At 40.8% G+C, this 17,071-nt stretch overlaps 1 long non-coding RNA gene across 4 annotated transcripts in view, besides 2 other annotated features; it reads right to left on the reverse strand.

The window, feature by feature from the left end:
* Positions 1 to 17,071, reverse strand: part of LOC107985152 (uncharacterized) — a 55,307-nt gene that overhangs the window by 13,420 nt on the left and 24,816 nt on the right. For 2 of the 4 annotated variants that reach the window (XR_007066371.1, XR_002958225.2), the window contains exon 1: positions 432 to 10,991. The exons of 1 other annotated variant lie outside the window; for it this stretch is intronic. This is a non-coding gene — a long non-coding RNA (uncharacterized LOC107985152). Of the gene's footprint in view, positions 1 to 431; positions 10,992 to 17,071 lie in introns of those variants that run through there. One more of the 4 variants, XR_001753449.3, reaches the window with a different exon arrangement.
* Positions 3,821 to 4,321: an enhancer, noted in NCBI's record as "H3K27ac hESC enhancer chr18:48518398-48518898 (GRCh37/hg19 assembly coordinates)". NCBI's record gives its function as "activates a minimal SCP1, AML or CMV promoter by ChIP-STARR-seq in primed H9 embryonic stem cells {active_cell/tissue: H9 hESC(primed)}" and the evidence as "EXISTENCE:reporter gene assay evidence [ECO:0000049][PMID:30033119]".
* Positions 4,312 to 4,606: a silencer, noted in NCBI's record as "tiled region #8611; K562 Repressive non-DNase unmatched - State 24:Quies". NCBI's record gives its function as "represses a minimal TATA promoter and a strong SV40 promoter by Sharpr-MPRA in K562 cells {active_cell/tissue: K562}" and the evidence as "EXISTENCE:reporter gene assay evidence [ECO:0000049][PMID:27701403]".

Genomic DNA, 17,071 nt, shown 5'->3' on the forward strand with positions numbered 1-17,071 from the left:
ACATTATTGCTGTCTGTCCTCCTAGGAGTGGTGTAGTGTCCATCAACATACTAAAAACAGTATTGCTTCAAATGATCATAAACCAGTGTTTGATGCCAGAAAGACCTGATCCCAGAGTCCCATTCTCTGATATGTGGTAGTACCTCTGTGTGGTCTGGAGCAGGTAACCCACTCTCTGAGTTTCTTCAGCTTGTTCATTTCAAAAATGGGAAAAACAGTAAGACCTATGTCATAGATTGTTAAACAAGACAACATATATAAGGAGCATAGCACATTGCTTGAAGGTGTTGAGAAATCCTGCAGTACAGAGGCCTGTCAGCTCTGTTGAACCCCTTTCTCAGTCCTATTTCACCAGGTACTACCTGTTAACATCTCAGGAACCTAGAGAGCTTTACAGCACACATATTTAGAAACACTGTTGTAGTACTTACTGTTCAATTTCCTCTGGGTTCTGGGGCTTCTCTGGCCAAATTTTTTGACTCCTGGCTAGTTGTGGAGACTCCAAAGTAGTGATGATTGGCTGGGGGCAGTGGCTCATGCCTGTAATCCCAGCATTTGGAGGCCAAGGCAGGCGGATTGCTTGAGCCCAGGAGTTCCAGACCAGCCTGCACAACATGGTGAAACCCCATCATTACAAAAAATACAAAACTTAGCCAGGCATGGTGGTGTGCCTGTGGTCCAGCTACTCAGGAGGCCAAGGTGGGAGCCTGGGGCGGTTGAGGCTGCAGTAAGCCATGATCATGCTATTGCACTCCAGCCTGAGCAACAGAGCAAGACCCTCTCTCAAAAAAAAAAAAAAAAAAAAAAGCAAAAAACAATGATCAAAATAGGTCTGGTTACTTAAGATATGATCATTCTGATGCAGTCTCTAGAATGGTCTGTCTTACTATAGACTCTGCCCGCAAAAAGTGCCAAATTTTGATCATGCATAAAGCATGCCATGGTTTCTAAATTCAATTCAAATAAGCATTAATTAGACATCTAATGTACCTAAACTTGTGCAAGAGGCTAGGACTCTAGGACTAGAATGGCTCAGATGAGTATCTCTAATGCATGAAGCCCCTGAGGATAGAGATTATTATGTCTTAGTCACTGCCACATCCTTAGAAATGTCCACCTAGAGCTGAGTGCAGTGGTGTGTGCCTGTAGTGCCACCTACTCAGGAGGCTGAGGTGAGAGGATCACTTGAGTCCAGGGGTTCAAGTCCATAGAGACATAGCAAGACTCCATCTTGGCCAGGGGCAGTGGCTCACACCTGTAATCCCAGCACTTGGGGAGGCCAAGGTGGATGGATTGCTTGAGGTCAGGAGTTCGAGACCAGCCTGGGCAACGTGGCTAAACCCCCGTCTCTACTAAAATTACAAAGATTAGCTAGGTGTGGTGGTGCATGGTAATGAAACTAGCCCATTTCATTACTGAACTTACCGGAAAGAATTTACACCACCTCTTTGGTGGTGCCCCATTCACTGAGTACTAAGTAAGTGCCAGACTTTATTGTGTTGGTAGTACATAAATGAATAGACAAATGGCAAAATTCCAGCCCTAAGCACACAGCCTAGTGAAAGAGACCAGTAGATAAAAAGTAAATCTGTAGTTGCTTCACATGTTCTAATCTTGTATCCTGGGCACTCGAATTTTGCTGTTCCTGAGCATTACTTGGTAGCTGACTTGAGCCATGCCCTTAGAATCAGGCTCTATAAATACATATGGGCTAAGCCCTCAGAGGCCATGGGAATGTGGAAACGATATGTTGGGTCAAGTGTAGAGTATCAGTCCATGATGAGAACTTTTTCTAGACCCTCTTCTGGGCTAGAATTTGTTTTCAGTGATAGAGACATTCTAAGAATTTGTGGAGCTAGAATTAAGAAAGAAGTTTATATTGGACTTCTCGGAACCTGTAATCTACCCAAGGATTTGACTCTTAAGTGGGGAGGGTGACCATATTATGTATTGTGTCCCAAATTTATTTGATTACTGAATCCTCTTTTTGCCAAGGAAGATCTTGGAACTTTAGAAATGCCATTCTCCATACGTTGCAAAATTATTCTATTTATGTTTTTTACCTGCAGAATTTATTGAGCTCATGATTTCCATGTCTACACTTAATGTATTACTTCCTTTGTCCTAAACTGACTCAATTGTAAGGAATCCATACATACCTACTTATTTTAGATTTTATTTTATTATTATTATTATTATTATTTGAGACAGAGTCTCATTCTGTATTTTAGATTTTAAAAAATGCACACTTGTGGCCAGGCACCATGGTTCACCTGTAATCCCAGCACTTTGGGAGGCCGAGGTGGGCGGATCACTTGAGGTCAGGAGTTTGAGACCAGCCTGGCCAACGTGGTGAAACCCCATCTCTACAAAAATTAGCTGGGCATGGTGGCGGGCACCTATAATCCCAGCTACTCGGGAGGTTGAGGCAGAAGAATCGCTTGAACCTAGGAGGCGGAGGTTGTAGTGAGCCGAGATCACACCACTGCACTGCCTGGGTGAAAGAGCAAGACTCCGTCGCAAGAAAAAAGAAGTGCATGTTCTAATTCTCCAAAGTTGTTTACACTTGCCCAGATAGACCCTAAATCAGCTCTGTTTAATACTCATGCCTCATTAATGCACTTTTAATGAACTTTGAATTATAAAAGCAGCGTATGTTTGGTAGAGAATTTTTTTAAGATGCAATAAAAGAAGACAATTATTCGTAATTCCTTCACCCACAGAGAGCTGTTATTTCTGATCCAGTGGTCCCCAAACTGAGGGGTGGGTGAGAATTACTCAGGGTGTGTAGGTAGACAGCGATCCTTAGGCTCTGTTTTCAAAGACTTAGGCTCTGTTTTCAAACGTCTGGGGTAATACCCAAGAATTTGCATTTTTAATAAGCCCCCAAGGTGATTCTGAGGTATATGAGTGGCAGACCATATTGGGAGAAAAAAACTGTCTATTCTATGCGTTTTAAAAGTTTTGCGTGTGTTTAGATATTTTGTATGTGCTTCTACCTATGTTGGTATGTGTGTATATTATACACATGTACACCTGTATATTTTTACATGTAGGCTGACCTCAACTGTTTTTCTCATTTAGCATATTATGAGGATTTCCCCACGGCATTAAGTGTTCTCTGAAAGCATGAATTTAATGATTTTCTATTATTGCATTCTATAGATACAGTATCACTTAACCGTTTTTTTATTTGGAGGCAGTGAGATTGTTTTCCGTTATTATAAATAATACTATCATGAATATTCTTATGCATAAATCCTTGTATCTCTGAGTATTTCCTTCCTTAGAATTGATTTCTCTGAGGGTGAAAATCTGACTTCTTTTTGGAGGTTCTGGGTAGGAATTGCCCACTGGTTTCCATGCTCTTTTACACTCCTAGCAGCAGTGAATAGGAGTGGCCTGTCTTGGTATTCTATCTGGAGATGATACGGAGTATCATCAGCTCATGACCTTGCTAACGCTTCTTCCCCAAGACATTAGTCCTATGAAGATTATTTTCACCTCCCAGTGCAAATAACTTTGTTATGTCTTGCAAGTAGGACATATTGTGATTTCCTTGAATACTCTTATGCCAACTTAAAAATTTGGTAGTTTTTACTTTAGGGGTAAAAATCCTTACTGCTTCAAATATGTCCATGATAGATGTACAGTGAAGGTACTTTTTTACTAACAAAGGTATAAATTTATCGTGAAATGTGCTGGTTCTGTCCTTACTGATTGATGGATTTTTCAGGTAATGAATGAGTCAGTATTTTTCTTACATGGGAAGACTAAAAAGGAAGCGCTGGTAATGCTCTGAATGTTCCCTCTTGGCAGGATAAGAATAGAGCGGGGAGGCGGGTAAGATCGCAAAATTATTTTCTTCCTTAGTAGGAAGTAAACAATGTCTAAAAGTGAAAAACAAATAGTACTCTAAGCATAGTATGTTTTTAAAAAGCAGAAGGTGGGGAGGAGAGACTACCAGATGAATAGTTAAGAGTGGAAGAAGGGGCCAGAAGGGTCAAGGGGGTGGGGACAGATGGTCAGGGGACCGCTATTTTTTATAAGCCTAATAGTATTAGCACTATTTTACATTTTAAACCATTTGTGTGTATTCATTTAGTTTAAAAATTACATTAAAACACACACACAGATAAGATGCTGCTCTGAGTAATCTTAACAATTGCGTGTCTCCCCATGGGTGCTACAGGCAGTTAGCAGCTGCTCTCAAGCCTTTGTAACATTCCAGTCCCATTCTCCATACTGCAGTCTGAGTCTGTGTGTTTTGTTTTTTTCAAAATGCACATTTGAGTCTCATGTTCCCCCTGCTTGAAACTTAATGGTCATTTCTTACCCACCTTCCCAATCTAATCTTCCTCTACACTTCTGCAGCCCTAGCCACGTGGGTCTTCTTTCAGTCCTTTGTCAGGGCTTTCTGTTGTCGCAAAGCCTTTGCAAGGCCTGCTCCCTCTGCCTGGAATGCTCTTTCTCCTCTCCCCAAGTTAACCCTTCCTGGGCCTTCAGATCACAGCCCTATAGCCACAGCCTCAGGGAAACCTTCCCTGGCCTCCCCACTAGGTAGCATATTACTCTTTTTTTTTTTTTTTTGAGATGGAGTCTCGCTCTGTTGCCAGGCTAGAGTGCAATGGTGCGATCTCTGCTCCCTGCAACCTCCGCCTCCTGGGTTCAAGCGATTCTTCTGCCTCAGCCTCCATATAGCTGGTACTATAGGTGTGCACTACCACGCCCAACTAATTTTTGTATTTTTGGTAGAGACGGGGTTTCACCATGTTGGCCAAGATGTTCTTGATCTCCTGACCTTGTGATCCGCCTGCCTCAGCCTCCCAAAGTGCTGGGAACACAGGCATGGTCCACTGCGCCCGGCCGCATATTACTCTTATAGCACCTGCATCTGACCTTCCTGGTGCTTGGCACTTACTATTTTCATTTTGCTTCTGTGAGCGATGTTTCTCTTTCCCATTAGCATTGTAAGCTTCCCAAGAGCAGAACTGTGTCTTTTGTTTCCCTCTGTGCCTAGCTTGGTGCCTGGAACATATTAGGCACTCAATAAATAGTGTTGACTGGTTCAGTTTTCCCCGTCATCCTGTTATTCAGTTAATATGCAGTGCTTTGTTTTCCTAGGAATTCTTCCTGATTAATATTAAAAACAAACAAAATACCCACCCCTAGTCTCTGAAATAAAAGTGGGAAGGAGGATAATGGTTGTCTGTGACTTTAATGGGGTGAATCCTTTTAAGTACTAATTTTAAAGCTTTAGTTTTGTGTCATATGATATGCAGACAGAAACCTAGACCCATGGGAATGATTGGAAAAAAGATTTACTCTGCCTAAAAAGTTGGGATGTTAGCTTTTGCAATGTATAGGGGAATCAGAACAGAGAGGAGACAGCCAAGCCCCAGGCAGGAGTCTGGAGCCCTATGCAGGTAGGAAAAATGGGAAAACTTTTAAGAACACAGATATCTGATACTCAATTTTATGTTGCCTGCATTGCTTGGAATTAAATCTCTACTTTCTACCTAACTTTCTTTGAAGTCTGCTAGACACATATGACTTGGGGATCCCTCCCCAGCCCTGCACACCACCAAAAGAGAACAAGTTCTAAATTCCATGACTAGGTTGACCTGGGGGGAGAAAGGACAGCAGGGAAGAGAGTGAGACAATCCCCAAACTAATACAGTTCACAGGAGCTGAAGTCAGAGGTGATTACATGAACCAATGTTTCCCAGTTATTTTCAGAAAATTGTGAAGAGGACATTGACCTTAACATAGCCCATGGAATGAGAGTGACAGGGGTTGAGCCAATTTCATGTATATCTTAAAGGACAGGGTAACTCCAACTGCAATCTAGACACAGATATTTCTGTGTCCTTGATATGTTTCAAGGGTTAAAAGGCTGTCATATCCAGTATAACAAGGAAGTTTTTTGGGGGGAAGCAGTACCTCAGTTTATCCAAAGCAAAAAATATTTCCACCCCTAAATAAAGCTAGCTGAGAAGCACTGCTGCTCAGATGTCAGGATGCTAATTATACACCCAGCAGACATCGAAGGTACAAAGATGAAATGCAGCCACGAAAAAGTAAAAGGGGAAAGACAAGGGATCAAGTTGTCCAGCTATATAAATCTACCTTTAATTGCCAGAAATCATTCAGGCAGCCTCAGGTAGAGAACTACACAATGTTTAGTTCACTGTCACCAAATGAAACCAAGGTTATCTGGGTTGTTTTCTACATTGTTATGGCTTCCAGATGTCATAGGCTTGTCTGACTATATCTCTTGACACATCCTGGGCTGGAAATGACCTTGTCACTCGGCCTTCTAAAGTGCTGGGATTACGGTTGTTGACCCAGACATGGGTACCTTAGAAGTACCCATGTCTGGGTCAGCAACTCAAATGCTGATCCCAACTGGCTTACAAAGGGCCTTCCCATGGAATACATTTTCACACAGCTAGCAGATAACAGGGCACAATCCTCCCCAGCATGCCTATACCGAGAGGCAGTATAGCCTAGTAGAGTGGCCTTCAGGCTAGGTAATAGTATCCCTGGAGATATGTAAAGACTTTTCTAAGGATACACAGGCATATTCTCATATGAAATATTTCGTAGAGTTTATCTTCCTGAGAATTATTGCAATCAAAGTGTTTTGCTGTAGTATTGTGCATTGTTCCAGAATGAAAAGCCTCTGGGATACCAGTGAAAGGGATAATTGGAATATTGATATTGAGGTTGAAAAAAAATGAATGATTAACACCTTTTATAAGTTAGGTAGTTTCCAACTTGTTTTGAACAAAACTGAAGGAGGATCTAATCTGTCCAATGATAGATTTGTTTAAGCAGCTTTATGGAGATATAATTCACATGCCATAAAATTTGGTAGTTTTTCATATATTCACAGAGTTGTACAACCATCACCACTATCAATTTTAGAACATTTTCAGTATCCCCCAAATAAACCCCATACTCATTGGCACTCACACCCACTCCTTCCCATCTCCCAAACCTACCATCCCTAGGCAACCACTAATCTGCTGTCTCTATAGATTTGCCTATTTTGGACATTTCAGATAGATGGAATCATACATTATGTGGTCCTTCGTGACTGGCTTCTTCTAGTATAATGTTTTCAAGATGTATCCATGTTGTATCAATCCTTTATTCCTTTTTATGACCAAATAATATTCCATTCTATGGATATACCACATTTTATCCATTCATCAGTTGATCCAATAATAGATTATGAAAAATATTGTCTACAAAACACCTGTATCAGAAATGAAAAATGAGATATTCCTACAGATCTTATGTTTGTAAGATATTGCTACAGATCTTACATTAGAAAGATAAAAAAGGATATTATAAATAACTCCAAAGTTACTGAAACAACTTCCTTAAAAAAAAAAATTGCCAGAACTGACACAGAAAGTAAATAGGACTAACAAGACTTTCTATTTATTAAAGAAATTGAATTTGTGATAAAAAAGAAACCTTCTTACAAAAAAAAAATCTTGAGGGCCAGATTAGTGAATCATTTTAAACAATTGAGGAAGAAATACACCTTTCTTCTCCAAACACTTCTGGAAAGTAGAAAAAGAGGGAACACTTTCCAACTCATTTTATGAGTTTAGCATAACCTTGATGCCAAAATGTAAGGACATTAAAAGAAAGGAAAATTACATGCTAGTCTCTATCATAAAAACCCTGAAGAAAATAATTAGCTAATTGAATCCAGTGAAATATGAAAGGAATAAGACCTCTTCATAAAAGGAGTTTATTCCAGGAATGCAAGATTCATTTAACATTTGAAAATCAGTGTTTTCCACTTAATAAAATAAATGAGGAAAAACTGTGGGACAATCTCCACAGATACAAAACATTTTTTGATAAAATTTAATAGTCATTTGTAGTAAGAACTCTTAGCTTATTAAGATAAGAGATAAAAGCCAGGCGTGGTGGCTCACGCTTGTAATCCCAGTGCTTTGGGAGGCTGAGGAGGGCAGATCACTTGAGGTCAGGAGTTTGAGACCAGCCTGACCAACATGGAGAAACCCCATCTCTACTAAAAAAATATAAAATTAGCTGGGCGTGGTGGAGCATGCTTCTAATCCCAGCTACTGGGGAGGCTGAGGTAGGAGAATCACTTGAACCTGGGAGGCGGAGGTTGCGGTGAGCCGAGATCACGCCATTGTACTCCAGCCTGGGCAAGAAGAGTGAAACTCCATCTCAAAAAAAAAAAAAAAAAAAAAAGAATGAGATAAAACAGCAACTCAAAGTACTGTTAAAAGAAAAAAAAAAAAAGGGATAGGAGAGACCCTTAATGTGCACCACCACACCCAGCTAATTTTTAAAACTTTGTATAGAGATGGGGTCTCTCCATGTTGCCCAGGCTGGTCTTGAACTCCTGGGCTCAAGAGATCCTCCCACCTCAGCCTTCCAAAGTGCTGGGATTACAGGCATTAGCCACTGTGCCTGGTCATGTACTATATTGCTTTGAAGGTCTTAGCCAGACCAATATAGATAGATAGATAGATAGATAGATAGATAGATAGATAGATAGACAGAATGAAGATTGGAATGGAAGAAATAAAACTTTCATCATTAGCAGGTGACATGATTATGTACATAGAAAATTTTAAAGAATAAGCAAATAACCTGTTAGGATAAATAGATGAATTTAATAAGATTGCTGAATACTCAGTCAATATAAAGAAAATCAACTTTATGCCTACATTCCAACAACAAACTAATAGAAAATGTTTTAATGATATCATTTACAGAAGGATCAAAACTATCAAAAATCTAGGAATAAATCTAATGAAATATATGCAAAACCTCTCCACTGAAAACTACAAAATATTATTCAGATGAAGAAAAGTAAAATAAATGGAAAGGCATACCATGTTAATAAACCAAGAATATTCAGTATTGGAAAGATGTCATTTATCCCTAAATTTATCTGTAGTTTCAATGCAACCCAATCAAAATAACTGTAGGTTTTTATTTGGATATGTTTATGAAGAAATTGAGAAACTGTTTCTAAAGTTTATATAGGCATGCAAAGACCAAGAATAGCTAGGACAATCTTAAAAGAAGAACAAAATTAAAAGATTTACATTATCGGATATCAAGACTTACAGTAAAACTGCAATCACTTAGTATAATATTGTTGCAAGGAGGACAAATAGACCAATGGAATAGAAAGACGTTCAGGGGAAAAAAACCCACACATATTTAGTCACTTATGACAAATATGAAATTTCTGTGCAACAAAGAAAGAGTTGCCTTTGCAATAAATGGAGAGTCAATCAGATTTCAATAATGAAAAAATTGATTACATTGATTCCTACCTTAAACAATACACAAAAATCAATTCCAAATGGATTTTATATATAAATGTGAATTTAGAATTTTAGTATATGTGCTGCCGAGGCAAGCACTAAATGTGAATATAGAAAAGCTCCCTTTTTGGAGTAGGCAAAGATTACTAAAACAAAATCGAAGCACTAAGAATAATAAAGAAAAAGGTAGTTAAATTGAATGTTAAAATTAGGAACTTCTATTCATAAAAGACACTATCAAGAGAGTGATAAAGCAAGCCACAGAGTAGTACAGCATATTTACAATAGCTGTAGTTGATAAAGGATTTGAATCTAGAATTCAATAGTAGTTAGGTGTTGCTACATAACAAATTACCCCCAAAACAGTGATCTCATAATCTTGGTGGGTCAGGAATCTCGGTACAACTTAGCTGGGTACTTCTGGCACAAGATCTCTCATGAGGTTGTAGTTAAGCTGCCAGCTATAGGGCAGTGGGTTCATCTGAAGACCCAAGCGAGGGATCCACTTTCAAGCTTCCTCATGTAGTTGTAGGCAGACCTTGGTCCCTTGTCACATGGGTCTCTTCGCAGGGCTGCCTCATGACATGGCAGCTGATTTCCCTCATGTCAAGCAACCTGAGATAGAATGAGCACCCAAGCCACAGTCTTTTTATAATTTAACCTTGAAAGTGACATCTCATTACTTCTGCCACATTCTATTCATTAGAAGCGAATCAGTAAATCCAGTGCACACTCAAGGGTAAGGGACTGCAGATAGCATAAATACCAGGAAGCAGGGTAATTGGTGGGCCATCAGAGGCAGCCTACCAAAGAATTTATAAAGAACTTTTAAAAGTCTTGATCTAGGTAGGAGTTAATATGGGTGTGTTTACTGTGTGAAAATTAATCTATTCAGATGTGATTTGGGTGCTTTTCTGAACATAGGTTATATATCTGTGGAAAGTTGACTTAACATTTTTGATGAAAAACTCTAGGCAGAATTCTTAAGATTCTTATCTCCTGGTTATTAATTAAAGCTCTAATCTAGGCATTACTATGAGTGGATTTTGCAGATATAATTGAAGTCCCAGTTGACTGTAAAACTATCCAAGTGAGCATAACTCAATCGGGGAGCCCTTTAAAAGCAGATAATTTTTCATCTATAATTCCAGTGCTTTGGGAGGCCAAGGCAGGAGGATTGCTTGAGGCCAGAAGTTCGAGACCAGCATGGCCAAAATAGTGAGACCCTGTCTCTATTAAAAAAAAAAAAAAAGATTAAATGATTTAACATATGTAAAGCACTTAGAACAGAAAGTGCTATATACAGATCAGACATTATCACTATTAAACTTCAAATTGGAGCCTACGATGTTCCCTCATCATTCAGAGGAGGTTTAACTCCTTTGGGGTTTTGGAAACTGCCCTCACAGTGTTCCACCAGCCCAGAGGCTGGGGTAAGGAGTGCCTCCAACCTTCTAGATTGGGGGCCAGGGCACATTGCTTTTGACTTGTGTTAAAGCCACTTGCCACATGTTGCTATCGGACACTTGAAATGTGGCTAGTCCAAATTAAGATGTGCTGTAAGTGGAAAAAAGTCACTAGATTTTAAAGACAGTATGAAAAGAAGAATGTATAATAATAGTTCAATCATTTTTTACATTGATTATAGGTTGAAATAATATTTTGGACATATCAGGTTAAATAAAAGACATGACTAAAATTAATTTCACCTGTCCCTTTTTTGCAGTTTCTAATGTGGGTACTAGAAAATTTAAAATTACCTATGTGGCTCACATTATATTTCAACTGGACAGTGCTGCTTTAGACAGTCTTTCTCAATGCCAGCAGTCAGAGTGGTCCTTTAAAGATACAATTCAGATCATGTCACTACTCTGCTTAAAACCCTCCAGTAATATCGGATCTCACTCAAGAGTAAGTCAAAATCCAGATCGAAGTCTACCAGTTCCTGTGTGATCAGCCTCCACCCCACCCCCTCTCTCAGGTTCAGTGTAAATCAAGTTCCAAATTTTGCGAAACCTGAAGTTTACATCATGGGAGAAAGAAAGGGGGAGATGAACATGAGTTCTTGCTAAGAAAAAGTACAAATTATGAATTTATTTATTTATTTAGAGATAAGAGTCTCGCTCTGTCCCCCTGGCGGGAGTGCAGTGGCGTGATCTTGGCTCACTGCAGCCTCTGCCTCCTGGGTTCAAGCGATTCTCCTGCCTCAGCCTCCCGAGTAGCTGGGATTACAGGCTGGGTAATTTTTGTATTGTTAGTGGAGACGAGGTTTCACCATGTTGGTCAGGCTGGTCTTGAACTCCTGACCTCAGGTGATCCACCTGCGTTGGCCTCCCAAGGTGTTGGGATTACAGGCATGAGTCACCATGCCCAGCCGAATAATGAGTTTAGAATTAGGTACTGTGATGGTTAGTACTAGGTGTCCACTTGAATGGACTGAGGGATGCCTGGATGTCTGGGGAAGCATTGTTCCTGGATATGTCTGTGAAGGTGTTGCCAGAGGAGGTTGACATTTGAGTCCCTGGACTGGGAGAGGAAGACCCACCCTCAGTGTGGGTGGGCACCATCCAATCAACTGCCAGAGTGGCTGGAACAAAGCTGGCAGAAAAGGGGAAGAAACAACTTCCTGGGTCCTCTCCGGTGCTCTCTTTTCCTCTGCAGGATGCTTGCTTCCTCTCCTCCTGCCCTTGGACATCAGACTCCAGGTTCTTCAGCCTTTGGACTCTGGGACCTGCACCGGCAGCCTCCTGGAGGCTCTCGGGCCGTAGGCCTCAGCCTGAGGGCTGCACTGTCGGCTTTCCTGGTTTTGAAGCTTTCAAACTTGGACCGAGCCACGCTCCCGGCTTCTGTTTCTCCAGCTTGCAGACAGCCAGTCATGGGACTTCGCTTTATAATCCTGTGAGCCAATTCTTCCTGATAAACTCCTTTATATATACACACATATATCCTATTGGTTCTGTCCCTGTGGAGAACCTAATACAGGTTTTGGTATCAGGAGTGGTTCTAGAGGAACATAATTTTAAGCATAAATTTCCTTTGTCGGTTTTGGGGTTTCTGGAGTTGGATATCTAATCTGATTAGACCCAAATGCTAAAGACTCTATTTCTAATAGTATGGACAGCACTAATAGTCCTTGGCTTGAACTGTTTAGAGTTACGCAAAATAAATGCATTTGATATTTCTGATTCCCTGTTCCTAAGAGGCAAGGAGTTTAGTGACTCTATATATGATACCTTTGAACATTTGTGGAGAACCAAGGAATATAATGAAGTTGGCTGGTTGCTCCTAAGTTCACTGGGCAAAGTGATGAACGAAAAGGATGAGCTGAGGGATTCTATTTCCTGGTTCTAGATACACATACATAGCCAAAAAGTTTCTCAGGGTGCCCTGGGTAAGAATCTTCTCTTCTGTGGACAAAGAGCTGAAATTGCTGAAAATCAGACACAAGCTCTTATGCAAGTGGCTGACCTGCAATGGAAGGTTCATGCTCAGCTTCACCAAGTGTCTACTGTCAAAGGGAGGGCTTTGATTGGGAAAGAATGGGACCCTGTAAGTTGGGATGGGAATATGGGGGACTCTGATGAAGCTAGGGACACCTAACTCCTAAATTCTAATGAGCCTTTTTTGCCAGAGGAAATGGCATCCCCACCCCCCGTAGTGGCAACATACTTTTACCCACACACTCCAGTACCAGCCTTTCCATCTTTAAGATTAACCCTGCATTGCCCCGGGGAAACAGGGATGTCCTCCCTTGAGGCAGCTGCCAGGAAAGACAATGCTGGTTCTCCTCAGGACCCATCCCCACCACCTGTCCTTGCCTCTGGACTCTAACTGGACTCTAGTTCCTACAGGCCCTTAGAGGTGAGGTTCAGGGTATGACTCATGAGAAGGCATGCTATGCTCCAAATACTAATCAGACTTTTTGGGGGCTACTGGATGCTGGCTCCAACTACTCGAGTTTTCTAATTTACATGAGCAGAAATCCAGGGAACAGGTATGGGAATGGATATTAAGAGTGTGGGATAATGCAGCCAATATCATACTGAATGGGCAAAAACTGGAAGCATTCCCTTTGAAAACTGGCACAAGACAGGGATGCCCTCTCTCACCACTCCTATTCAACATAGTGTTGGAAGTTCTGGCCATGGCACTCAGGCAGGAGAAAGCAATAAAGGGTATTCAATTAGGAAAAGAGGAAGTCAAATTGTCCCTGTTTCCAAATGACATGGTTGTATATTTAGAAAACCCAGTCATCTCAGCCCAAAATCTCCTTAAGCTGATAAGCAACTTCAGCAAAGTCTCAGGATACAAAATCAATGTGCAAAAATCACAAGCATTCCTATACACCAATAACAGACAAACAGAGAGCCAAATCATGAGTGAACTCCCATTCACAATTACTTCAAAGGAATAAAATACCTAGGAATCCAACTTACAAGTGATGTGAAGGACCCTTCAAGGAGAATTACAAACCACTGCTGAACGAAATAAAAGAGGACACAAACAAATGGAAGAACATTCCATGCTCATGGATAGGAAGAATCAATATCGTGAAAATGGCCATACTGCCCAAGGTAATTTATAGATTCAATGCCATCCCCATCAAGCTACCCATGACTTTCTCCACAGAATTGGAAAAAACTACTTTAAAGTTCATATGGAACCAAAAAAGAGCCTGCATTGCCAAGACAATCCTAAGCAAAAAGAACAAAGCTGGAGGCATCATGCCACCTGACTTCAAACTATACTGCAAGACTACAGTAACCAAAACAGCATGGTACTGGTACCAAAACAGAGATATAGACCAATGGAACAGAACAGAGCCCTCAGAAATAATACCACACATCTACAACTATCTGATCTTTGACACATCTGACAAAAACAAGAAATGGAGAAAGGATTCCCTATTTAATAAATGATGCTGGGAAAACTGGCTAGCCATATGTAGAAAGCTGAAACTGGATCCCTTCCTTACACCTTATACAAAAATTAATTCAAGCTGGATTAAAGAATTAAATTTTAGACTTAAAATCATAAAAACCCTAGAAGAAAACCTAGGCAATACCATTCAGGACATAGGCATGGGCAAGGACTTCATGACTAAAACACCAAAAGCAATGGCAACAAAAGCCAAAATTGACAAATGGGATCTAATTAAACTAAAGAGCTTCTGCACAGCAAAAGAAACTACCATCAGAGTGAACAGGCAACCTACAGAATGGGAGAACATTTTTGAAATCTACCCATCTGACAAAGGGCTAATATCCAGAATCTACAAAGAACTTAAACAAATTTACAAGAAAAAAATCAAACAACCCCATGGAAAAGTGGGCGAAGGACATGAACAGACACTTCTGAAAAGAAGACATTTATGCAGCCAACAGACACATGAAAAAATGCTCATCATCACTGGCCATCAGAGAAATGCAAGTCAAAACCACAATGAGATACCATCTCACACCAGTTAGAATGGTGATCATTAAAAAGTCAGGAAACAACAGGTGCTGGAGAGGATGTGGAGAAACAGGAACACTTTTACACTGTTGGTGGGACTATAAACTAGTTCAACCATTGTGGAAGACAGTGTGGCGATTCCTCAAGGATCTAGAACTAGAAATACCATTTAACCCAGCCATCCCATTACTGGGTATATACCCAAAGGATTATAAATCATGCTGCTATAAAGACACATGCACATGTATGTTTATTGCAGCACTATTCACAATAGCAAAGACTTGGAACCAACCCAAATGTCCATCAATGATAGACTGGATAAAGAAAATATGGCACATATACACTATGGAATACTATGCAGCCATAAAAAAGGATGAGTTCATGTCCTTTGTAGAGACATGGATGAAGCTGGAAATCATCATTCTGAGCAAACCATCGCAAGGACAGAAAACCAAACACCATGTATTCTCACTCATAGGTGGGAATTGAACAATGAGAACACTTGGACACAGGATGGGGAACATCACACACTGGGGCCTGTCATGGGGTGAGGGGAGGCGGGAGGGATAGCATTAGGAGATATACCTAATGTAAATGATGAGTTAATGGGTGCAGCACACCAACATGACACATGTATGCATATGTAACAAAACTGCATGTTGTGCACATGTACCCTAGAACTTAAAGTATAAAAAAAAAAGAGTGTGGGATAATGGAGGAAGGACCATAAAGTTGGATCAGGCTGAACTCATTCCTATGGGTCCACTAAACAGAGATTCTGCATTTAATGTTGCAGCTCAGGGAGTTAAAAAAGGGTTCTAATAGTTTATTTGCTTGGTTAGCTGAAACATGGATCGAAAGATGGCCCACTGTGAGTGAGCTGGAAATGCCTGATCTCCCTTGGTTTAATGTAGAGGAAGGATCCCAAGGCTTAGAGAGATTGGAATGTTAGAGTGGATTTGGATTTGTCAGTAAGGACCTACTCATCCCAACTGGGAGGGTCCAGAAGACACACCTTTCACCAGTTCCTTGTGAAATAGATTTGTGAAGGGAGCACCAGCATCCTTGAAGAGCTCTTTGATTGCTCTTCTCTGTATGTCAGATCTTACAGTGGGAACCACAGCCACTCAACTGGAAAACTTAAATGCAATGGGAATAATTGGATCCTGAGGTGGCAGAGGCCAAGTGGCAGCACTCAACCATCAAAGGCAAGGTGGGCATGGTTAGTAATGGACAGCAGAAGCAAAACAGCAATCAGAATAGTCTGAAACCTATAGAGCTCTAGCATTGGCTAATTTATCATTGTATTCCTAGAAGTGAAATCGACAGGAAGCCTACTACATTCTTACTTGATCTGTATAAGCAGAAAACTTCCAGGTCAGGTGAACAAAAGTCCAATTTGAATTATAAAAACAGAGAATCATGGTCCTTCAATCAATTTCCAGACTCAAGCTAGTTTATAGACCCAGAACCCCTTGAATGAAAGGGAGGCCAGGTCCACTTGAGGAAGGACCCCACTATACTGCTGAAAATTTATACTGTTAATCTTTCTCCTAACCTTCCTCAAGGAAACCTCTGGCCTTTTAGCAGGGTAACTGTGCTCTGAAGAAATAAATAATCAGGGTTTTGGGGGGCTACTGGATACTGGTTCTGAACTGTCATTGATTTTAGGGGAGCCAAAATATCACTGTGGGGCTGGGCATGGTGGCTCACACTTGTAATCCCAGTACTTTGGGAGGCCGAGGTAGGCGGATCACTTGAGTTCAGGAGATCAAGACCTGCCTGACCAAAATGGTGAAACCCCATCTCTACTAAAAACACAAAAAATTAGCTGGGCCTAGTGGCATGCACCTGTAGTTCCAGCTACTTGGGAGGGTGAGGCAGGAGAATCACTTGAATCCGGGAGGTGGAGGTTGCAGTCAGCTGAGATTGTACCACTGCACTCCAGCCTGGGCGACAAACAAGATTCCATCTCAAAAAAAAAAAAAAAAAAATCATTGTGGCCCTCCAATTAGACTAGGGGCTTATAGGTGTCAGATAATTGATGGAGTTTTATCTCAGGTCTGACTTATAGCGAGTCCAGTGAGTCCCTGGATCCATCCTGTGGTCATTTCTCCAGTGCTAGAATGCGTAATTGGAATAGATATTCTTAGTAGCTGGCAGAATTCCCAAATTGGTTCCCTGGCCTGTGGGATGAGGGCTATTACAGTGGGAAAGGCCAAATGGAAGCCATTAAGAATGCCTCTACCTAGGAAAATAGTTAATTAAGGACTTGAAAC

This window comes from Homo sapiens, chromosome 18 (genome assembly GCF_000001405.40).
Source record: "Homo sapiens chromosome 18, GRCh38.p14 Primary Assembly".
Classification (NCBI taxonomy): Eukaryota; Metazoa; Chordata; class Mammalia; order Primates; family Hominidae; genus Homo; species Homo sapiens.